The sequence below is a fragment of the Homo sapiens genome, chromosome X (assembly GCF_000001405.40).
Source record: "Homo sapiens chromosome X, GRCh38.p14 Primary Assembly".
Taxonomy (NCBI): domain Eukaryota; kingdom Metazoa; phylum Chordata; class Mammalia; order Primates; family Hominidae; genus Homo; species Homo sapiens.
The window spans coordinates 91,796,229-91,813,367 of NC_000023.11; the positions used below are offsets into that span (position 1 = coordinate 91,796,229).

General features: G+C 33.5%; 1 protein-coding gene and 1 pseudogene across 7 annotated transcripts in view; both read left to right on the plus strand.

Annotated features, from left to right (window-relative positions):
* Nucleotides 1–17,139, plus strand: part of PCDH11X (protocadherin 11 X-linked) — an 843,856-nt gene that overhangs the window by 16,854 nt on the left and 809,863 nt on the right. For 5 of the 7 annotated variants that reach the window (XM_011530911.3, NM_032968.5, XM_047441993.1 and 2 more), the window contains 3 exons: nt 13,238–13,406; nt 14,245–14,350; nt 15,009–15,067. The exons of 1 other annotated variant lie outside the window; for it this stretch is intronic. In XM_011530911.3, coding sequence (XP_011529213.1) covers nt 15,025–15,067 — 43 coding nt within the window. In that variant the 5' untranslated portion in view covers nt 13,238–13,406; nt 14,245–14,350; nt 15,009–15,024. The remainder of the gene's footprint in view (nt 1–13,237; nt 13,407–14,244; nt 14,351–15,008; nt 15,068–17,139) is intronic. One more of the 7 variants, XM_011530910.1, reaches the window with a different exon arrangement.
* On the plus strand, nt 1,865–2,052 carry RNU2-26P (RNA, U2 small nuclear 26, pseudogene; annotated as a pseudogene).

The window sequence follows — 17,139 nt, forward strand, 5'->3', positions numbered from 1 at the left end:
CAGACAGCATTTGATCTAACATAGTTATTGGTCTATTAATTTTTTTGTGTTCTTTTCTACCAGAGCCATGTATTCCTACTGCATAGTATACATTTTTAGAGTAAATTCTTTTAAGAAATAATTTGAACGTCTTTAATTTTCAGAGAAAATTTTAGGTGTAGTTTTTTTAATTGCATAACTATTTTGAAACTACTATATAGATAAATTTTGAAATTTTAGTAATGTGGTGAAAAAATTCAATGAGAAAGAATATCCTTGATTCAGAAGCTACTGAAGACAAATAAGTAAAGTTGGAAACTGTTAAAGGACTAAAAGGGCAGAAAAATTGTCAATATCATTTTCTTATCTCTTCTAGATATAGCTGACTTGATAAACTGATTATTAAAAGTAACAAGTTCACAATAACTGAAAAACCCAAGTTCATTTTGAACCAAAGATTATGGTTAAAATACCAATGCCAAATTTACCAAAATAATTACATTTTGCATACTGGATAATCATTATATATATAGTTGGTACAAATTAATCCTTAGTTATCTATATCTTAGATGTCTACTTCTGTGCCTCTGTGAAGTAGGAGGTAGTCTAATTATTTCCATGGTATGAATATAGAAATTGAGACTTGCCTAAATGTACAAAGACAGTAAATGGCCCCATCAGGGATCACACTCACATCTTTTTCACTTCACAGTCCAGATTTTTAACCAGAATGCGAAATATAAATGTATTTTTGTTTATATTTTGAAATATCATTTAACTATATTAATAATTACTATGCACATAAACTTTTCAATTTCTTTTTAGATAAATGTTTCATATTATATCCATTTCTCAGCTTTATTAACTGTGTTAGGAGTGCAGAACACCGTGCCTTGAGGAAACATAAAAGTACATCAGTTAAACTGAATATTAAGGTTTTTCTTCTTTCTTCTGGACAGCTTAATTGTAGGAGAAATATTCTACCTATAAAATTGCCTGTCGTTAACAATTCAGTTACAGCCTGGTGAATGTGAACACACACACTTTAAGTGTCTAATTTAAAACTAGATTTTCTCCTTTGATAATTCTACTTTTGTTGTAGATTATATAATGAGTTTAAGCAAATTAAAATTATAGATGGCTTGTGATCTTTCTCATCAAAGATGATTGCATTTTTGTTTCACTTGTATTAGAAATTTGACAGATTTGATCTAGAGGCATGTACAGTTTTGATTTTTAATGGATTTGCTTGGACAATCTCAAGTTAAAATAAGAACTTTCAATTCTAGTCTCTGTTCAGAAATCCTGACTCATAATACTGAGATAAATACTGGAGGGATAAAATGTCTCTCAGCATTAAATAACTAAATAACATTTGTTTGAACCGTAAAGGGAGAATTGAGTTTATTTATAATCCATCTGCATAATACATCTAGTTGAATCAATCAATTATTTTAACTGATTTTCTTCCAAATTAACTGCTGGTTTTATTTTTATGTGGACATTAGCCTTATTGTCCAAAAAACTCACTCTATATTTCTACTTAAGACAATTAAAATGCAGCAATTCCTTATTCTTTAATCATATCCTTAGGGTATTTAGTCAGAATGGAATATTATGAGTCAAAGATATTGATCAGAAGTCAGTCGAAATTTAAAATATCTTCTCTTGGATTTATTTTCTTCATAACTATTATCATGCAATAATGATGCAAATGCAGTACAAACAAAAACATAGATGAACACAGATGCATTTGCTTGATAAGTACAGACAAGGAAACAGCATGGTAGAAATTTGCCCAACTAGACTTTCATTCTAGTAGCTAAGCTTTATGCTTTTTTTCTTAACTTGATATTTTAAAAACTTGAAAAAAAAAAGAATCAGTATCACTTCTCAGCCTTTTGGCTAAGATAGAGTGTAGTATCTGTTCCTATCAGTTTAATATCTGATATATCCTCTGTCCGAGGACAATATATTACATGGATTTTTGGAGCAGGGAGATGGAATAGGAGCATGCTCTGTCCACTCCACACATTGACCTGGTATTGCAGTACCTCCAAGAACGGTGTTCCCCTCGGGGGTTAAAACACAGTGTTACAGGCCAGGCGTGTTGGCTCACCCCTGTAATCCCAGCACTTTGGGAGGCCGAGGCAGGTGGATCACCTGAGGTCAGGAGTTCGAGACCAACCAGGCCAACATGGTGAAACCCCATCTCTACTAAAAATACAAAAATTAACCAGGCATGATGGCGGGCGCCTGTAATCCCAGCTACTCAGGAGGCTGAGGCAGGAGGATCACTTGAACCAGGGAGGCAGAGGTTGCAGTGAGCCGAGATTGTGCCACTGCACTCCAGCCTGGGCAACAAAGTAAGACTCTGTCTCAAAAAAAAAAAAAAATCAGTAGAATCACTTTCTTAAAATATAAGTACACAGATACTTTTACAAATATATGATACACAATGGCCTTCAAAGTGGATCTAGACAAATAGAAATTTGTTTTTAATAATGTTTAGAAATTATGTTTCTCTTGCTAATATTCAGTATCACTTTGTTACTTGAAAATTCTACTTTTCACAGAAAACAACCTATTTTTGTAGGACTTAGGTTGTCTTCCTGCTGTTAGGATATATTACCACTACATAGCAGTGAGGTTGTAAGAACTCATTTCTTGTTGGAATGTATTTTACTCAGACGTGGATTATTTCTTCCTTTAATATATATAATATACATAATTTCTGAAATTATATAATAAATCATAAAATGTTTATATTCAAAACATACTTTTAGAAATGAAGACTTAGGTCACATTTATTCTGTTTTCCTTATATCATCAGCTAATACTTAATGAAACCCTACCCTTCACCAGAGATTTTGAATAGCTTATTTTTTACCTACTCCATATTTTCTATTTTCCAGAATTATCTCTTGAAAAAACTCATACATGCATAATTGAAATTAAAATTTTAGGATATTCCACAAAGTTGAATAGAGGTTTTAACTAAATCCATGACCTCCTAAACACAAATCTTTTTTTTCACTGACATTAAAAAAAGTGTATCTATAGATAAAATTTCTATTATCCTTCAATTAATAATAAATCACAAACATACCTAATTCTGTTAAGTAAAAGACCACATGTCTATTGAGGAATTGTACTAGGCTCACAAGAGTGAGTGTGAGATGATTACTAAGAGACTGTTTGCTATGAACAGTAAAACACATTTTTTTGGTATAATGTGATATATGATATAAATGAGCTTGATAAGGTTGTTTAAAGATTCACAAAAGAAAGTAGATTTCTGGCCTTTCACTTGATTTACTATGAATTTCTGCAAAACTACTGAGTTTCCTGGTTGTGAAATAAAAATAATGACTCTTTAACAACTTGTCTGACTGTGCAAGTGAGTGATAAAACTTGAATAAAAATGTATTATTCAGAGTAGAACTGAAAGGTGTGAGGCTCTAGATGTTAAACATTTATATTCATAAATTATCATAAACACTGAACACTGATATGTGTTCATAAGTAAATAAATAAGTAGGGAGATTGAACTGATAGTAGGGAGATTGAACTGATACCTCATTAAGGTTTTTGTGGCTGGTTGCGGTGGCTCCCGCCTGTAATTGATCCCAGCACTTTGGGAGGCCGAGGTGAGTGGATCGCTTGAGGCCAGGAGTTCGAAATCAGCCTGGCCAACATGGCATAACGCCGTCTCTATTAAAAATACAAAAATCATCCGGGCGAGGTGGCACACGCCTATAATCCCACGTACTCGGGAGGCTGAGGCACAAGAATCGCTTGAACCCGGGAGGCGGAGGTTGCAGTGAGCCGAGACCGCGCCACTGCATTCCAGCCTGGGCGCCAGAGAGAGATTCTGTCTCAAAAAGAAAATATTTTTACATAACACTTTTCACACTCTTCCATTTTCTCTCCACTTTCTCTTTTCCTTCTACTCTCTTTTTTCCTTCTTCCATTGAATTTTCACTACTCTTTCTTCATAAAGTAAGTTGTTGAAAGATTAAATATTTTACTGCAGTTCACTCTGTTTTCTACTTCCATTCTTCTACAAGTAGGCATCTATGTCAAAAAATAATCAGTTTGAAAATCTCCTTTATTATTCTGTTTTTAAGCATCTCTTTGTCTAAAAGTAAAAACAAAACGTACAATTAGGAATATGTGCTTTGGCTCTTTAAGGCAACTGCTTGCCCCATACTCTGACTTTAGCCCTCAATTGTCTTGGAGATGCACAGTAAAAGGATATATGCCTAGGAGAATAAGGCTTTGATGTACTGTATATCTAAATGTTGTCTGACAAAATTAACACAGAAAACTATGGATATTTTTTCTTAGCGTTTGGAACAAACATGATACATAATAGATTATTTTGCTGTAATTAAAATGATTTTCTATGTCTAACTTAATGTTCATGTACCTAGTTTTGGTTGTTTCCATTTAGCAGGTGAGGTAGCAATTGCTTTCTTTTGAAAATTTAGACCCTTTCTACTGCTATCATTGACTTTGGAAAAAAGGCAAAACCAAAGGCAAATTAACCCTATAATAAATATATTCAGTTGATCATTCATGTTAAGATACTTGATGGCTTACATTTAATATTAGGGATATTTATTTTACATTCAAAAGTTATTCATTTTTACTTAAAACATAGAAATGCTGTTTTTTAAAAAAAGGTTTATTGCTGGGCGCCCTGGGCCTGTAATCCCAGTATTTTGGGAGGTGGAGTGGGGCAGAGAGCTTGAGCCCAGGATTTCCAGACCAGCCTGGGCAACATGATGAAACCTCATCTCTACCAAAAGTAAAAAAAATTAGCTGGGTGTGGTGGCATGCGGCTGTAGACCAAGGTACTCTGGAGGCTGAGGTGGGAGGATTACTTGAGCCTGGGAGGTGGAGGCTGCAGTGAACCATGATCATGCCACTGCACTCCAGCCTGGGCAACAGAACAAGACCCTGCCTCAAAAAAAAAAAAAAAAAAAGAGTTTATTATCCCATCTAGGCTTCAAGTAAAATGATTTAAATAAGAAGGGAAGTTACTTATTCAACTCAAAAGAATTTAAAAGGAAACATAAAGGATTTTAAACAGCAGTATTCATTTTCTGCCTTTGTTAGTCAACAAAAAAGAGGGTCTTGAGTCATAATGCAGACAAAAGGTAACATCGGCTGCATATTGTGCCTGAATAATGGAGATTTCTTCAACAGAAACTGTTTGAAAAACATTTGCACGGAAGTAGTAGATTGCCTTTGATTATATTCAAGGGGAAGGAAATAGCCAAGCATGATTTTCCAGAATAAAGTAAACTTTTCTTTCATTAGTGAAAGTTATATTTTTGGAGTGATATAAACACTTTAAAACACTTTATACACAAAGTGAATTCATATAGATAAATTACATATTTTAAAACTAGAAATATTTTCACATTAAAGCTGAAATTATACATGATATGAATGCAGTATTAATTACTAATGATTTGTTTTGCAGAAAGATTCTTCATTGTGTAAATGAATTCATCATAGACTCCAAATATCAAGCTCTCAGAATGTATTAAAAATGGCATTTGTTATCAGTCCTCCAGGTGTTACATATGACTCCCAGTCACACTTAGATGACAGTATATGTGAAAGATGCTTAGGAGAGGCAAGAGTCTGAAAGGCCAACATATATTAAATAACTTTATTTAAATGAAACAATAAAATCCTGACTGATTTGAAAGTACACTGATGCATTATCAATGCACTTTCTTGAAGAATTGGTCTCGAGAGAAAATGCTTCACTGAAATAATTCAGGAAACTGCCCTTACGGCAAGTGGGGCAGATACTCTTCCTGTCCTTCATAGCGTTCTATATGTTTAAGGAGCAATGCTGACAATCATACACATGCATCTGCATGCACACATTAGGAAAGATGGAGTAACATGTCTATCTAAGTTGTTGTTGGCAATCTGTGTTCCCCCTCAGGGGAAATCTTTCAAATTAAATTTGGGCAATTTTCTTTATGTAGATACTAGAAAAGGATTCTCTCTCAGCTCATATTTGTGTGTCTTTTGTCATTTTTTCTTCACAGTTACGGTTACCTATGCTAGTACAGTATGCTGCACATAATTTAGATCAATTAATTCTGTTGACTAAAATACACCTTTTTGGATCCCCTGTTTCCTGCTTCTCACCACCACACGTTGTCTTGTCTGCTGTGCTTTTAACAGCTCTCAAATAAGAAATTTATCTTTGCATATTTAAACATCCTACTCCTCACCCCATATTAAAGTTACATTATTAAGAAGGCCCACACATTCTGATAATTTCCATATATTTATTAATGCCCACCTGCATGAAATAATTTTTCCTGCACACTTAGTTTTGTGCTTTTCCCAGATATTTGGAATAAATCTTTACTTATTGATGTAGTGATTTGTATGGAGAATTGCATATTAGTGGAAAGTCTGACTAAATATCTATATAGAATATATGAAGTCGGACTACATGAAATTTCTATTTTTCAGGTCAAAATTGGTTAAATATCAGTAATTTTATCTATTTCAACCAGTAAACAAAGGTCACAGTTCAGATGTACTGAAACAGAGAAAATCATAATTATCAGTGGAACTATCTTCTGAATTTCTCCTCACATCTGCAGATTTGTCCGGACAATTACTTAGTCTTAAGTAAAAATTAGTGTTGGAGAAGTCTTTATGAATAATGCATACTTCTGGACGAAGTGAGATTTGATCACTTCTCAGCCTTTTGGCTAAGATCAAATGAAAGTCAGTTTATAAAGTTGAGACTTCCGATTTAATGTTAATATGAGTTCCTGAAAAATGAAACACAGTTCTATTAATGCCTCAGTACAAATTACCCAATTATGCAACATAAATTTCAATGAAATGTAGCATCAAGTAAATCTATTTTCCTATTCAATTACTTATTGAATGAATAGGCATTTTTCTAATAAGATAGGCATTTGGATCAAATGTTAGCATTTTTTGTTTCTGCAGATTTATTGTGTCTGCAATTTAATATGGATTATAGAAACATACGGAATGAAGCCTCCGTATAATTGTTTATCCCATTATCAGAAATTTTGCAAAATTTGATTCCTGAGAAAAAGGTAAATTAAAGCCATTTGCCATCAGTTATCTTTTTCATTTTTTTTTCTAAACTCGGATTTCAAACAGAAGAGCTCTTTTTTGGGTGATGTCCTTAATAATTACAATCTAGATTCTGATTCCAAAACTTTACTAAGTTTTATTTATGTTAGTGTAAGTGAAAAATAAACATATTTTGTATTGTTTAAAGTCTGTGTAGTAGCTAAGGGCTTAAGCTTTCGACTCATATAAATCTTCTTTCAAATTTTAGTTGTATACCTTAATAGGTCTGTGACCTTGGGCAAGTTATTGAAACTTTTAGAGTCTCAATTCCCTCATATGTAAACGGAAGTCACAATAACAGTGCATATATCATAAGACTGCTGTATTAAATGCACTTAGCACAGTTCTTGGCATGTAATAAGAATTCAATAAATGGTAGCTACTATTATTCTAATAACTGATTACATTCTTTGGAAATTGTATTAAGATGACCCCAGCTGCTTAGTGAATCACTGTATTTGTCAGCATAGTAATTTGCAGAAACATGGATCTGTATTTCCTTTATATATATTTTTAATAGGATTAGGACTTGCAGGAGTTTGCTAGTGTGTATATGATCTTGGCAGCAGGAATCCAAATAGCCTGAGTAGAAAACTGAATTTTCCCACATTTTTTCAATCACATAGGGATAGAGATAATCCCCACTGTTGGCTAAATTGTGGAAGTTTTACGCTTCTTGTATTGGTGGGTTGCTGGCAACAGTAGTCTACAAATAAAGAATATTGTTTCTTAATAGCTTAAGCAATGTTAACATGATACATTCTCTCTTTTTACCAAAAAGTCTTTTCAAACTCTTAGCAAAATTAAACATTTTAAAAAATCATCGAGTTAATTAAAAGAATATTGTATCCTTAAAATATGCCATTTTAATGGAAATTTTTTTTGGTCAGTGAGAATATGATTTATTTACAATAATGCCACAAAATATGAAGTGGCAGTTTTATATTTCAAGTGGTTCTGGTCATTTTTAATTAACCGGAGAGGAAGTGAGAAAAAAATAAAGACTGTTTAAAATATAATTAATTAGATTAAAATTTTAACTTTTGTTTATACAGTCTTTAGTAATGTATTTATTGGCTTTTCTGAGGAATCTGGTATTTCTGAGGAAATTCTATTTTTAAATACATGCTACTTTAAATAAATGTTACTTCATCATTTGCAAATGACTATTCAATCAACATGTATAAAAGTTGTGGATTTCTTTGCTTTTATGACAAAAGTGGTATTGTATTTTTAAACTGATCACTTTATTAGGTCAGAGAGGGTATAGTTCAAAGTGTAATTATTTATTGTTAAATTGTATATTTACAAACATTTTAGTTTTGAACCATTAGATATTTATGTAATTTAAGTATGAAAGTTTAAAAATGGTTCATATAATAATAGGCATGTGATAAAATGTCATGATAAAAGACAGCCAAATAAATATTATTTCATCCTACTTAGAAAGAATAATTTTCCAGAGGAACTTTACTCAGTTTTAGAGAGAAATCCAAGAATAGTGTTCTTCTTTCATTTTTCAACATGATATAATCAGAGAATTTGGAAAACTGGTAAATATAACCTATAGTAAAATGGTCAGGAAAAATACTCATTTCCATTTATGATAACTGAAGTGACAAAAAGACTCCTAGAAGTTACATTTTCCCTTTGTGGTATATTAAAGAACAATGAATATACCACACTTTATTCTAAAAAGGACTTTTTTTGTGAATGTAAAGGATAATGATCAGATTTAAGTTTCTTTCTACAACCACTTCTAATTCTATTCACGTGATCTATTTAAAAATTCCTTACTTCAACATATTTAAATGTAGTAGCCATTTTGAAACATTTTAGTCCCTCAAGATACAGAAATATACAAAAAACATACAAGTTTCAGATCCAGAATTCAGTTTCTCCCTAAAGGGAAATTCATCATCCAATCTTCTGGCGTTCTTTAAACTAGACACTAGACCCTTTTCATCTAGATATTGCATATCTCATATATATTATACATGCATACATGTATGTGTATGCGTGTATTTTTAAAATCAGTATTTGTAGTAACATATCAAAAAGGAATTTCTAATATTCCAAGGTTCTAATGTTAGAATAGAAACATATTCACAATAGTGTTTACCAGTTTCATATATTTAGAGTAGTTTCACACTAAAATGAGTGATTAGGCTAGGCACGGTGGCTCATACCTGTAATCCTCGTACTTTGGGAGGCCAAAGCAGGGGGGCTTGCTTGAGCTCAGGAGTTCCAGACCAGCCTGGGGAACATAGTGAGACCCTGTCTCTACAAAAAACATTTTTTTTTTTAAATTAGCTCCTCACAGTGACACGTGCACCTATAATTCCAGCTACAGGGGAAACTGAAGTGGGAGTATGACTTGAGCTGAGGAGTTAGAGGCTTCAGTGAGCCATGGTGGCACCACTGCACTCTATCCTGGGTGGCAGAGTGAGAGCCTGTTGCAAATTAAAATAAGTGATTAGGACAAAAAAGATATAGGGCCAAATAAATAGAATGCTTACCCACCTCAAATAAAAAGAAAATAATATTTGTTAATATGAAGGTGATACTGGATAAGTGAAGTGCCTAGGACTTTTTTCTTAAATAATCTAGTATATTTTATGTGAATAAGGGACTATAAAGTAGGGAGATCAGCAGGACTGTAAAAGTGGGTGTGGGAGAAGAAAGTTTGCTAGTCAAACTTGGTTTAAATTGACTGCCTTTGTAATAGCATGTGGCTGAATGTTTTGATCTATTTATAATGAATATTTTAAGGATTTGCTAATTTTTGAAAATTGGCAAGAAATACTCATTTTTTTCCTGTCTTGAGGTATGCCAAAAATAAAACTTGCTAGAATAAAAAAAAATGAAAGTGAAGGAATGTCTTGTGTGTGCTAAAACACCTCCACTTAAAGAGTTTGATATCCACTAGAAAATGTTGTTTCTTTAAAAAGGGGACAAAGGGCATTTGATGCTTCTCACCTTTCACGGTTGTGACAATTCTCTTAGACATCTTAAATTCTCTAAGTGGAGATTTCTTATATTCTTCACAGTACACCTGTTTAAAAATTGTAGTCCACAGAAATCTGAAACTACAAAAGAAACTTTTCTCAAGATGATAACTCACAAGGAGTGTAAATTACAGTTACTTCATTTGTGGGAGTTTTCCTATCACTTTTCAATTAATAAGACACCCTGGTTATGGGAATTTTAGTCTCACTGAAAAACTCAATTTTTCTATGCAAATTAAATTTGCGTATGCAAGTTACAATTTGAGTTTAAGCTTAGGCCTACGCTGATGGAGGGATAACAGGCAAACTGGAATGTGGTACTTGACCATACTTAGTCAGTGCAGGAAAAACAACAAAAAAATCTTCAGAAACTTTCTTACCATTGACAGGGGCTAGTGTCGATATTCCTTGTGGTTTTCCCTTATTGACTGTATCTACGCCATCACATAGCAAAATGTACACAACAGCAGAAAGTAGACATTTTACTCATAGTTTCTGCAAAATCTGAATAAAGATAAAGTTTTTCTATTATAAATAATGCCAAAGATGTGGTCTTATAGATGTATGCATTCTAAGGATCAGGGAAAGGCTGTGAAATAAAACTCTAAGTTGAACAAAATTCAAGTAGTTTATCTTTTAACAGAAATATCTCCATAAACCATATCGATATAAAGGTGAACAGGGGTTGGACACAGTGGCTGAAAGCCCATAATTCCAGTGTTTTGGGAGGCCAAAATGGGAGGATGGCTTGAGAATAGGAGTTGGAGACCAGCCTGGGCAACATAGAAAGACCTCATCTCTACAAAAAAAAAAAAAAAAAAAAAAATTAGCCAGGTCTGTTCATGTGTGCCTGTAGTCCTAGTTGGGAGGCTGAGGTAGGAGGATTGGTCAAGCCCCGGAGTTGGAGGCTGTAGTGAGCTATGATCGTGCCACTGCACTTCAACCGGGGTGACAAAGCGAAAACCGTGTCTCTAAAAAAATTAAAAATAAATAAAGGTCAACAGGAAGAATCAATAACTAAGGCAGCAACTGGAATTGACAAATTAATATCAATAAGCTTGAATCAACTAATGAGGATGGTTTTGTGTGTGTGTGTCTGTGAGGGGGAGAGAGAGAGAGAGAGAGAAATATTGGTGAAGTAGTATTTTAATTCACCCACCAACATTCTATTGGGTGGCCAAATTCATAGAGGTATTTTATTAGAATCAGAAATTTCAGAATTTTAGAATCTATGTGTTAGCAAACTGTGTATTCATAGGTTCAAAAGAGGTTCATGACCTCTTGTTCCTCATAAATCATTCTAGGAGGAAAAAAATACTAACATAGCTGTAGCCCCTAAGTCATGAAGTGCATCTGACTGATTCACAAAATGTTAAATATAAAGGGTTACAGTTTTTCAATTAAAAATTTTTTATGATAAACATTAATGGGAAAAAACACTTATTTCAATAAAATTTATGGAATTCATTATTACTTTCAAAGAAATAACACCCTTATCTGTTAGCTCTGTCGATCCAGGGATGAAGGTTCAGCTAGAAAAATAACTTTAACCCATTATTGGACTGGTCTTTATTAAAGGCAGAGATATAACCCTAACTATCTCCCACTCTTCTGATTATGTATTTGTATTAAATACCTGATTATTTATTTAAAATTTATTTACTCAAACTATGGAAACATTATTCAATTCTTCCTTTGTTTGCAAAGAAAGATTTTCTGGTCAAAATAATAAACATTAATCCACAGAGGCAAAGCAAAAATAACAAAGATCTCTGTAGATAATATTAACTTTTATTCAAATTTCACAGTTGTTAATAAATGTATATTCAAAAGGAATGTGTGGCTGGGTGCAGTGGCTCATGCTTGTAATCCCAGCACTTTGGGAGGCCAAGGCGGGCAAATCATGAGGTCAGGAGTTCGAGACCAGCCTGGCCAACACGGTGAAACCCTGTCTCAACTAAAAATACAAAAATTAGCTGGGCATGGTGACGGGTGCCTGTAATCCCAGCTACTCAGGAGGCTGAGGCAGGACAATTGCTTGAACCCGGGAGACGGAGGTTGCAGTGAGCCGAGATCATGCCACTGCACTCCAGCCTGGGCGACAGAGCTAGACTCTGTCTCAAGAAAAAAAAAAAAGAGAGGAATGTGTGATGGATCTGGTCATTGATAAATCTATCACTAAGGTTCTATATTTATGGCATTTGATTAGCTATCCACATCACATTATGAGGATATCTACTTTCTCAAAGTATTTTGATCTTTGCTTCTAGATTAATAAAAAATGTAATAGTGGCTGAAGTATTTAAGGCACTCCCCTGGGACATGAAAAAAAATAATAAAATTTAGGTTATCTGGCACTGCCCAAATAATTGTATACAGAAAGTAAGAGAAAATTCATGTATGTTTGTGTTTATCTGCACTTACGGTAGCTGTCTTAAACTTTAGTCTTTAAATATAGAAGCCAATATGGAAGGTTAAATAGATGATTAATGCTCATCCTTTACTAGAAGTCTCTTTAAGCATATCTTATTTCCACGTTGATCATATTTATCTTTAGTAAAATTATAATTAACGTATAAGGTTTGTTTAATGGCTACAATTTCAGCTCATTTGTAATTAAAGTTTATCGCAAGTAACTTTTATAATTAAGTAACTTATAAAATCTCAGATTAAAGTAAATTATATTACTTAGTCTCAACATTTTCTTATAAAACATATTCTTCTTCTGTCTTTGCCTTATCTGTTCTTGGCACTAACTTCTTCAGTCATTCACACTTCAAAAGCTTTGGACTATTTCCTCTTCCTTATACCCACATTCCAGATTAAACTTTAGACTTTTTTATCTTGCAATCTCTTACTCTTCCAATCTTTCTTCCTACATCTTCCAGCTATTTATCAAAAACATTTAAAGAGCTACTTCTTTCATGAACCTCTTCTTAATTCCGTTACCTCAAAGTATTCACATTCTTCGGTACTATCATATCACTTTGCTCTGTCCTTTGTCACTTAGCCTATTTAGTATAATATTTATCTTCTACAAATCTTGTGTTATCTCCCCCACTACATAAACTTAACATGTGCTTTATACACAGAGGGTGCTTAAAAAGTACAGATCAACTGGATGGATGAATGGATGGAAGAGGATGGAATATCTTAACAAAACACATTTTCCTTAAGTAAATTCATGCATACTCCAAATAAAATACAGAATGTGAAGTATCTCTGAACTGTGCTGTTGAATATGGTAGCTACTAGCTACATGTGAGTATTTAAATTTTAATTTATTAAATTAAATTAAGAATTTAATTCCTCAGTCGCACTAGCCACATTTCAAGTGGTTAATAGGCACAAGCGGCTACCATATTGGACCATGCAGATTATTTTAATAAAATATTTTTATCATTGCAGAAAGTTCTATTGGATAGTACTGCTCTAGAAATTTTTGCTGGAGGAATGGATGAGAGAAACACGTCTATGGAATTCGAGGGAGATCATAATAACAAATAATAAGGCATAGGATTACCACTTCCCATATAAAAAGTATGATTCATAGCCATTTATAATACAAGCAATTACCCCTCAAAGTTGAAGATTTATATTAGTATCATTATTATCACTTTTCATTTAATCCATACTTTTTGCAACATCGATAATATAAAACTCAAAATAATTCATGTAGGTAGGAAGATGTCATATTTTCCACATAAATATGCATTAAATGCTTTAACAAGTCTGGCTTAATTAGAATAAGAATACAACAGACTAGGCTGGCTTTTCAAAAATTTTAATAGCTTATTCCCTGTTAAAGCTAAGAAATACCTTCCAGTATACCCTACCTCCCAAAGTATCAGGGATTTTTTGTTTTTTAATCCAAGAGAGATTTATGAGATCATAAAACACAATCTTTATGTTCTTTGCTTCCCTTTTCCCAAAATCTAAAATTATTCAGAAATATTTAACCTATTCTTGATTTGTAGCCATTACAGCTAATTGGAGGATCCTGCCATAAAATGATGGCCCTCTGTCATGTGTTGCCTACTTGTTTAATTTAGATTTGTGGTTTCTTGAAAGCCAACTGAAAGTGTTTTACCCCTCATAGGAAAATCCTGTTGCGAATAAGAAGGATTCCACAGATCACATACCGGAGAGGTTTTGCCTCAGCTGCTCTCAACTTTGTAATCTTGTGAAGAAGCTGACAAGCTTGGGTGAGACAATGTTTTGCTATCCTCCTTAAAGAATTAGAAATTGCCGCATAAGAGAGTATGAATTGATAACAAGAGGCATTATAGCTAAGATCAGGTTCATAACTGAAAAATTTGAAATAGATATGTAGGTAATCAAGCATTTTTAGTGATGTATATTATGTGATTGCCGTTCAAGGCAGGCATAACCATTTTCCTCAGTCAGGAAATAAATACCACTAGCCAATGGGGCTAGGATCACACCTATTCCATATAAATAAAACTTTGAATCTATCCTGTCTACTGTTTGATAAGCCTATGCAGATTATCAATTTTATGTGTTAGGTTTATAAAACTGTTATAATGATCCAAGGAATAATAGCAGTTGGTGGGGAGGGTGTTTTTATTTAAGCTTTCATTAGCAGACAAATAAGGATAGCAGAGACTTCACTCCAGTTTTAATTCAAAAAGTATTTTGTGCCTACATTTCAGAATCCTGGATGATTTGCTGCTAACAGCACTCTGAGGTCCTGCCATGGAACCTCCTATCTAGTGCAGCATTTGGGTTATTGAAGCCCTATCTTTTCAGTGCATCTATTTCATTTAAGTTTAAACTGATTACAATGTACTGGAGGCAAAGACCTTTTTCTTCCCCTCCCTCTTTTTATCCCCCACTCAACAGCTGATTGCAGAGCACTATGAGGACTGAACGACAGTGGGTTTTAATTCAGATATTTCAAGGTGAGTTTCATATATATTAAATATCATATACGTCTCCTTTCCTCTGGGTCTTTTCAGGAGTAGTAATTTTGTCTGAACTCCAATTTTTCATGTTTGAAGCTTTCATTTTCTTAAAAGATTTGTTTTGAGTTTAAAATGTTAACAGTGAGATTGGATGAGAGGAAGGGGAAGTCTATATTCCAATATACTGATATCATGTAGGGAGAGATGTAAAACAACAACAACAAAAATCCCACAAATTATAGTAAGCATAATTTACCTGGATTGGCCTGGATGGCCACACATGTTGTCCGTGGATTGACAATTTCTAAAGAATTGACAGTTTACTGACGGTAAACAATGAAGTTGTAAAGGCCCCTCTGGATCGTGCAAAGATGTCTTTAGGACCATGAGTTATCAGTGTACTGAAAAATTCCAGAAGTGCCTATTTTCAGAACAAATACTTGTTCTGAATACTACAAGCACCCTAGGTAGAGAGACTGTTCTTCCTCAGTTTTGCATTTCCAATGCGTGGTGTACAGAACATACTTTACAAATAGACACCAAACTAACAAACAAGAGAGTATTCTAATGAATAAATATATAGACTTTATTGCACTTGTAGGAATATGATTTGATTTAATAAACTAATAGGCTATCCCCCCAAATCTCCATTTAGATGAATAAAAAATGTTTAGGATTCTATTTAATTAAACCAAATTTAGAAGTAGTGTTCAGTTTCTTGCTTGGGAGGTTTTGATTTATTCAAAAATCATTTAAGTTTGTCCACTTAGTGATTAGCGTGTACTCCAGTGCACCCCCACAACTTTGTCACAATACTCCAATAATGTAATACACTTAAAAATAATATATTTAAATTATTTGTCACAAATACTCATTCTCAGTTTCTCTTGTCCATGTGGCAGAAGATACTGAAATATGTTCCCCTTGACATTGCTCAAAGAAGAAATCTCTTAAAAGTTCTAATCACTGTTAAATTTCTCAGACATTTTAAGCTTTAGAGAAGAAAAGATTTAAACAACTTTTTACATGATTCTTTTTCTTGTTCCCTTCTATTCCCTCCATTACTCCTCTGTCACTTCCATCATTCTCTCCAAGTACATAAATCCACTCTTTATGGTGCCTGGGACCTCCCAGATCCAGTAAATCTTCCCATCCTCTCCCTCTACCTTTCATTCCTTCAAGTTTTCCGTTCATTGAAGTCATTCTCAGTTCTGTTAGTTTTCCCAGATTTCTCCCTGTTCTCTTTGTGTGTCTATAATTCTTCCAAGTCTCTACCCAGTTTTTAAGTTCTCCATCTTTGTTGTCACCATAGTTTTCCCCAGTTAAGTTTTCATAACAGCTTGTTGCTCAGACTCTATGAGTACTTCTTATTTTGTTAGTTCGTCTCAATGCTCAAAATCATTCCTTACCTCTCAATCATCCCTTTTCTCTCTTTAATACCTTCATCCTTTCCAAGTTTTCTCTGCAGTCTTTTCCATATCCTCTGCTCCTACCAGTTTCCCCTTGTGCCTCGCAGTTCTTCCCAAATTATTCAAGTCCCTTGCAGGTAGTTGGAATATAACTCATCACATTATTTCCATATTTAGGAACAACTTAAATTTACAAACTGCCATGAATAAAACAGTCTGTAGCTTAATCATTGACAGTTTAATATAATCTTATTCTTTATTGCGGCATTATATATACACCACATTTTATAGACCTGTTATTTGTACCAGGTTTGGTTTTAAGAGAACTTGAGATAGTAGAGGGGAGATACAAAAAATTAACATTCAGGTAGTAAAGCCAAATTAAGCCAAGGTGAAAATTTCTTATTCAACAAGACATTCAGCCCATTCAGTTCAAAACAATATTCTGTGTACTTTTTAAGGAGTGGAAGAAAAATTGACGAGTAATGGAATATGCTAATTGAATATTGATGAGATTTGTTTCCATTTTAAAGTTAAAAAAAACAAAACTGATTGCTCTAAGACTTTTTCTTGCTGACTGCCATCACCTCAGTTGTCATATTTTAACCACAAATCCCGTAAGCACTTACATTTAACCTTATCGTTACTCTTATGCTTATT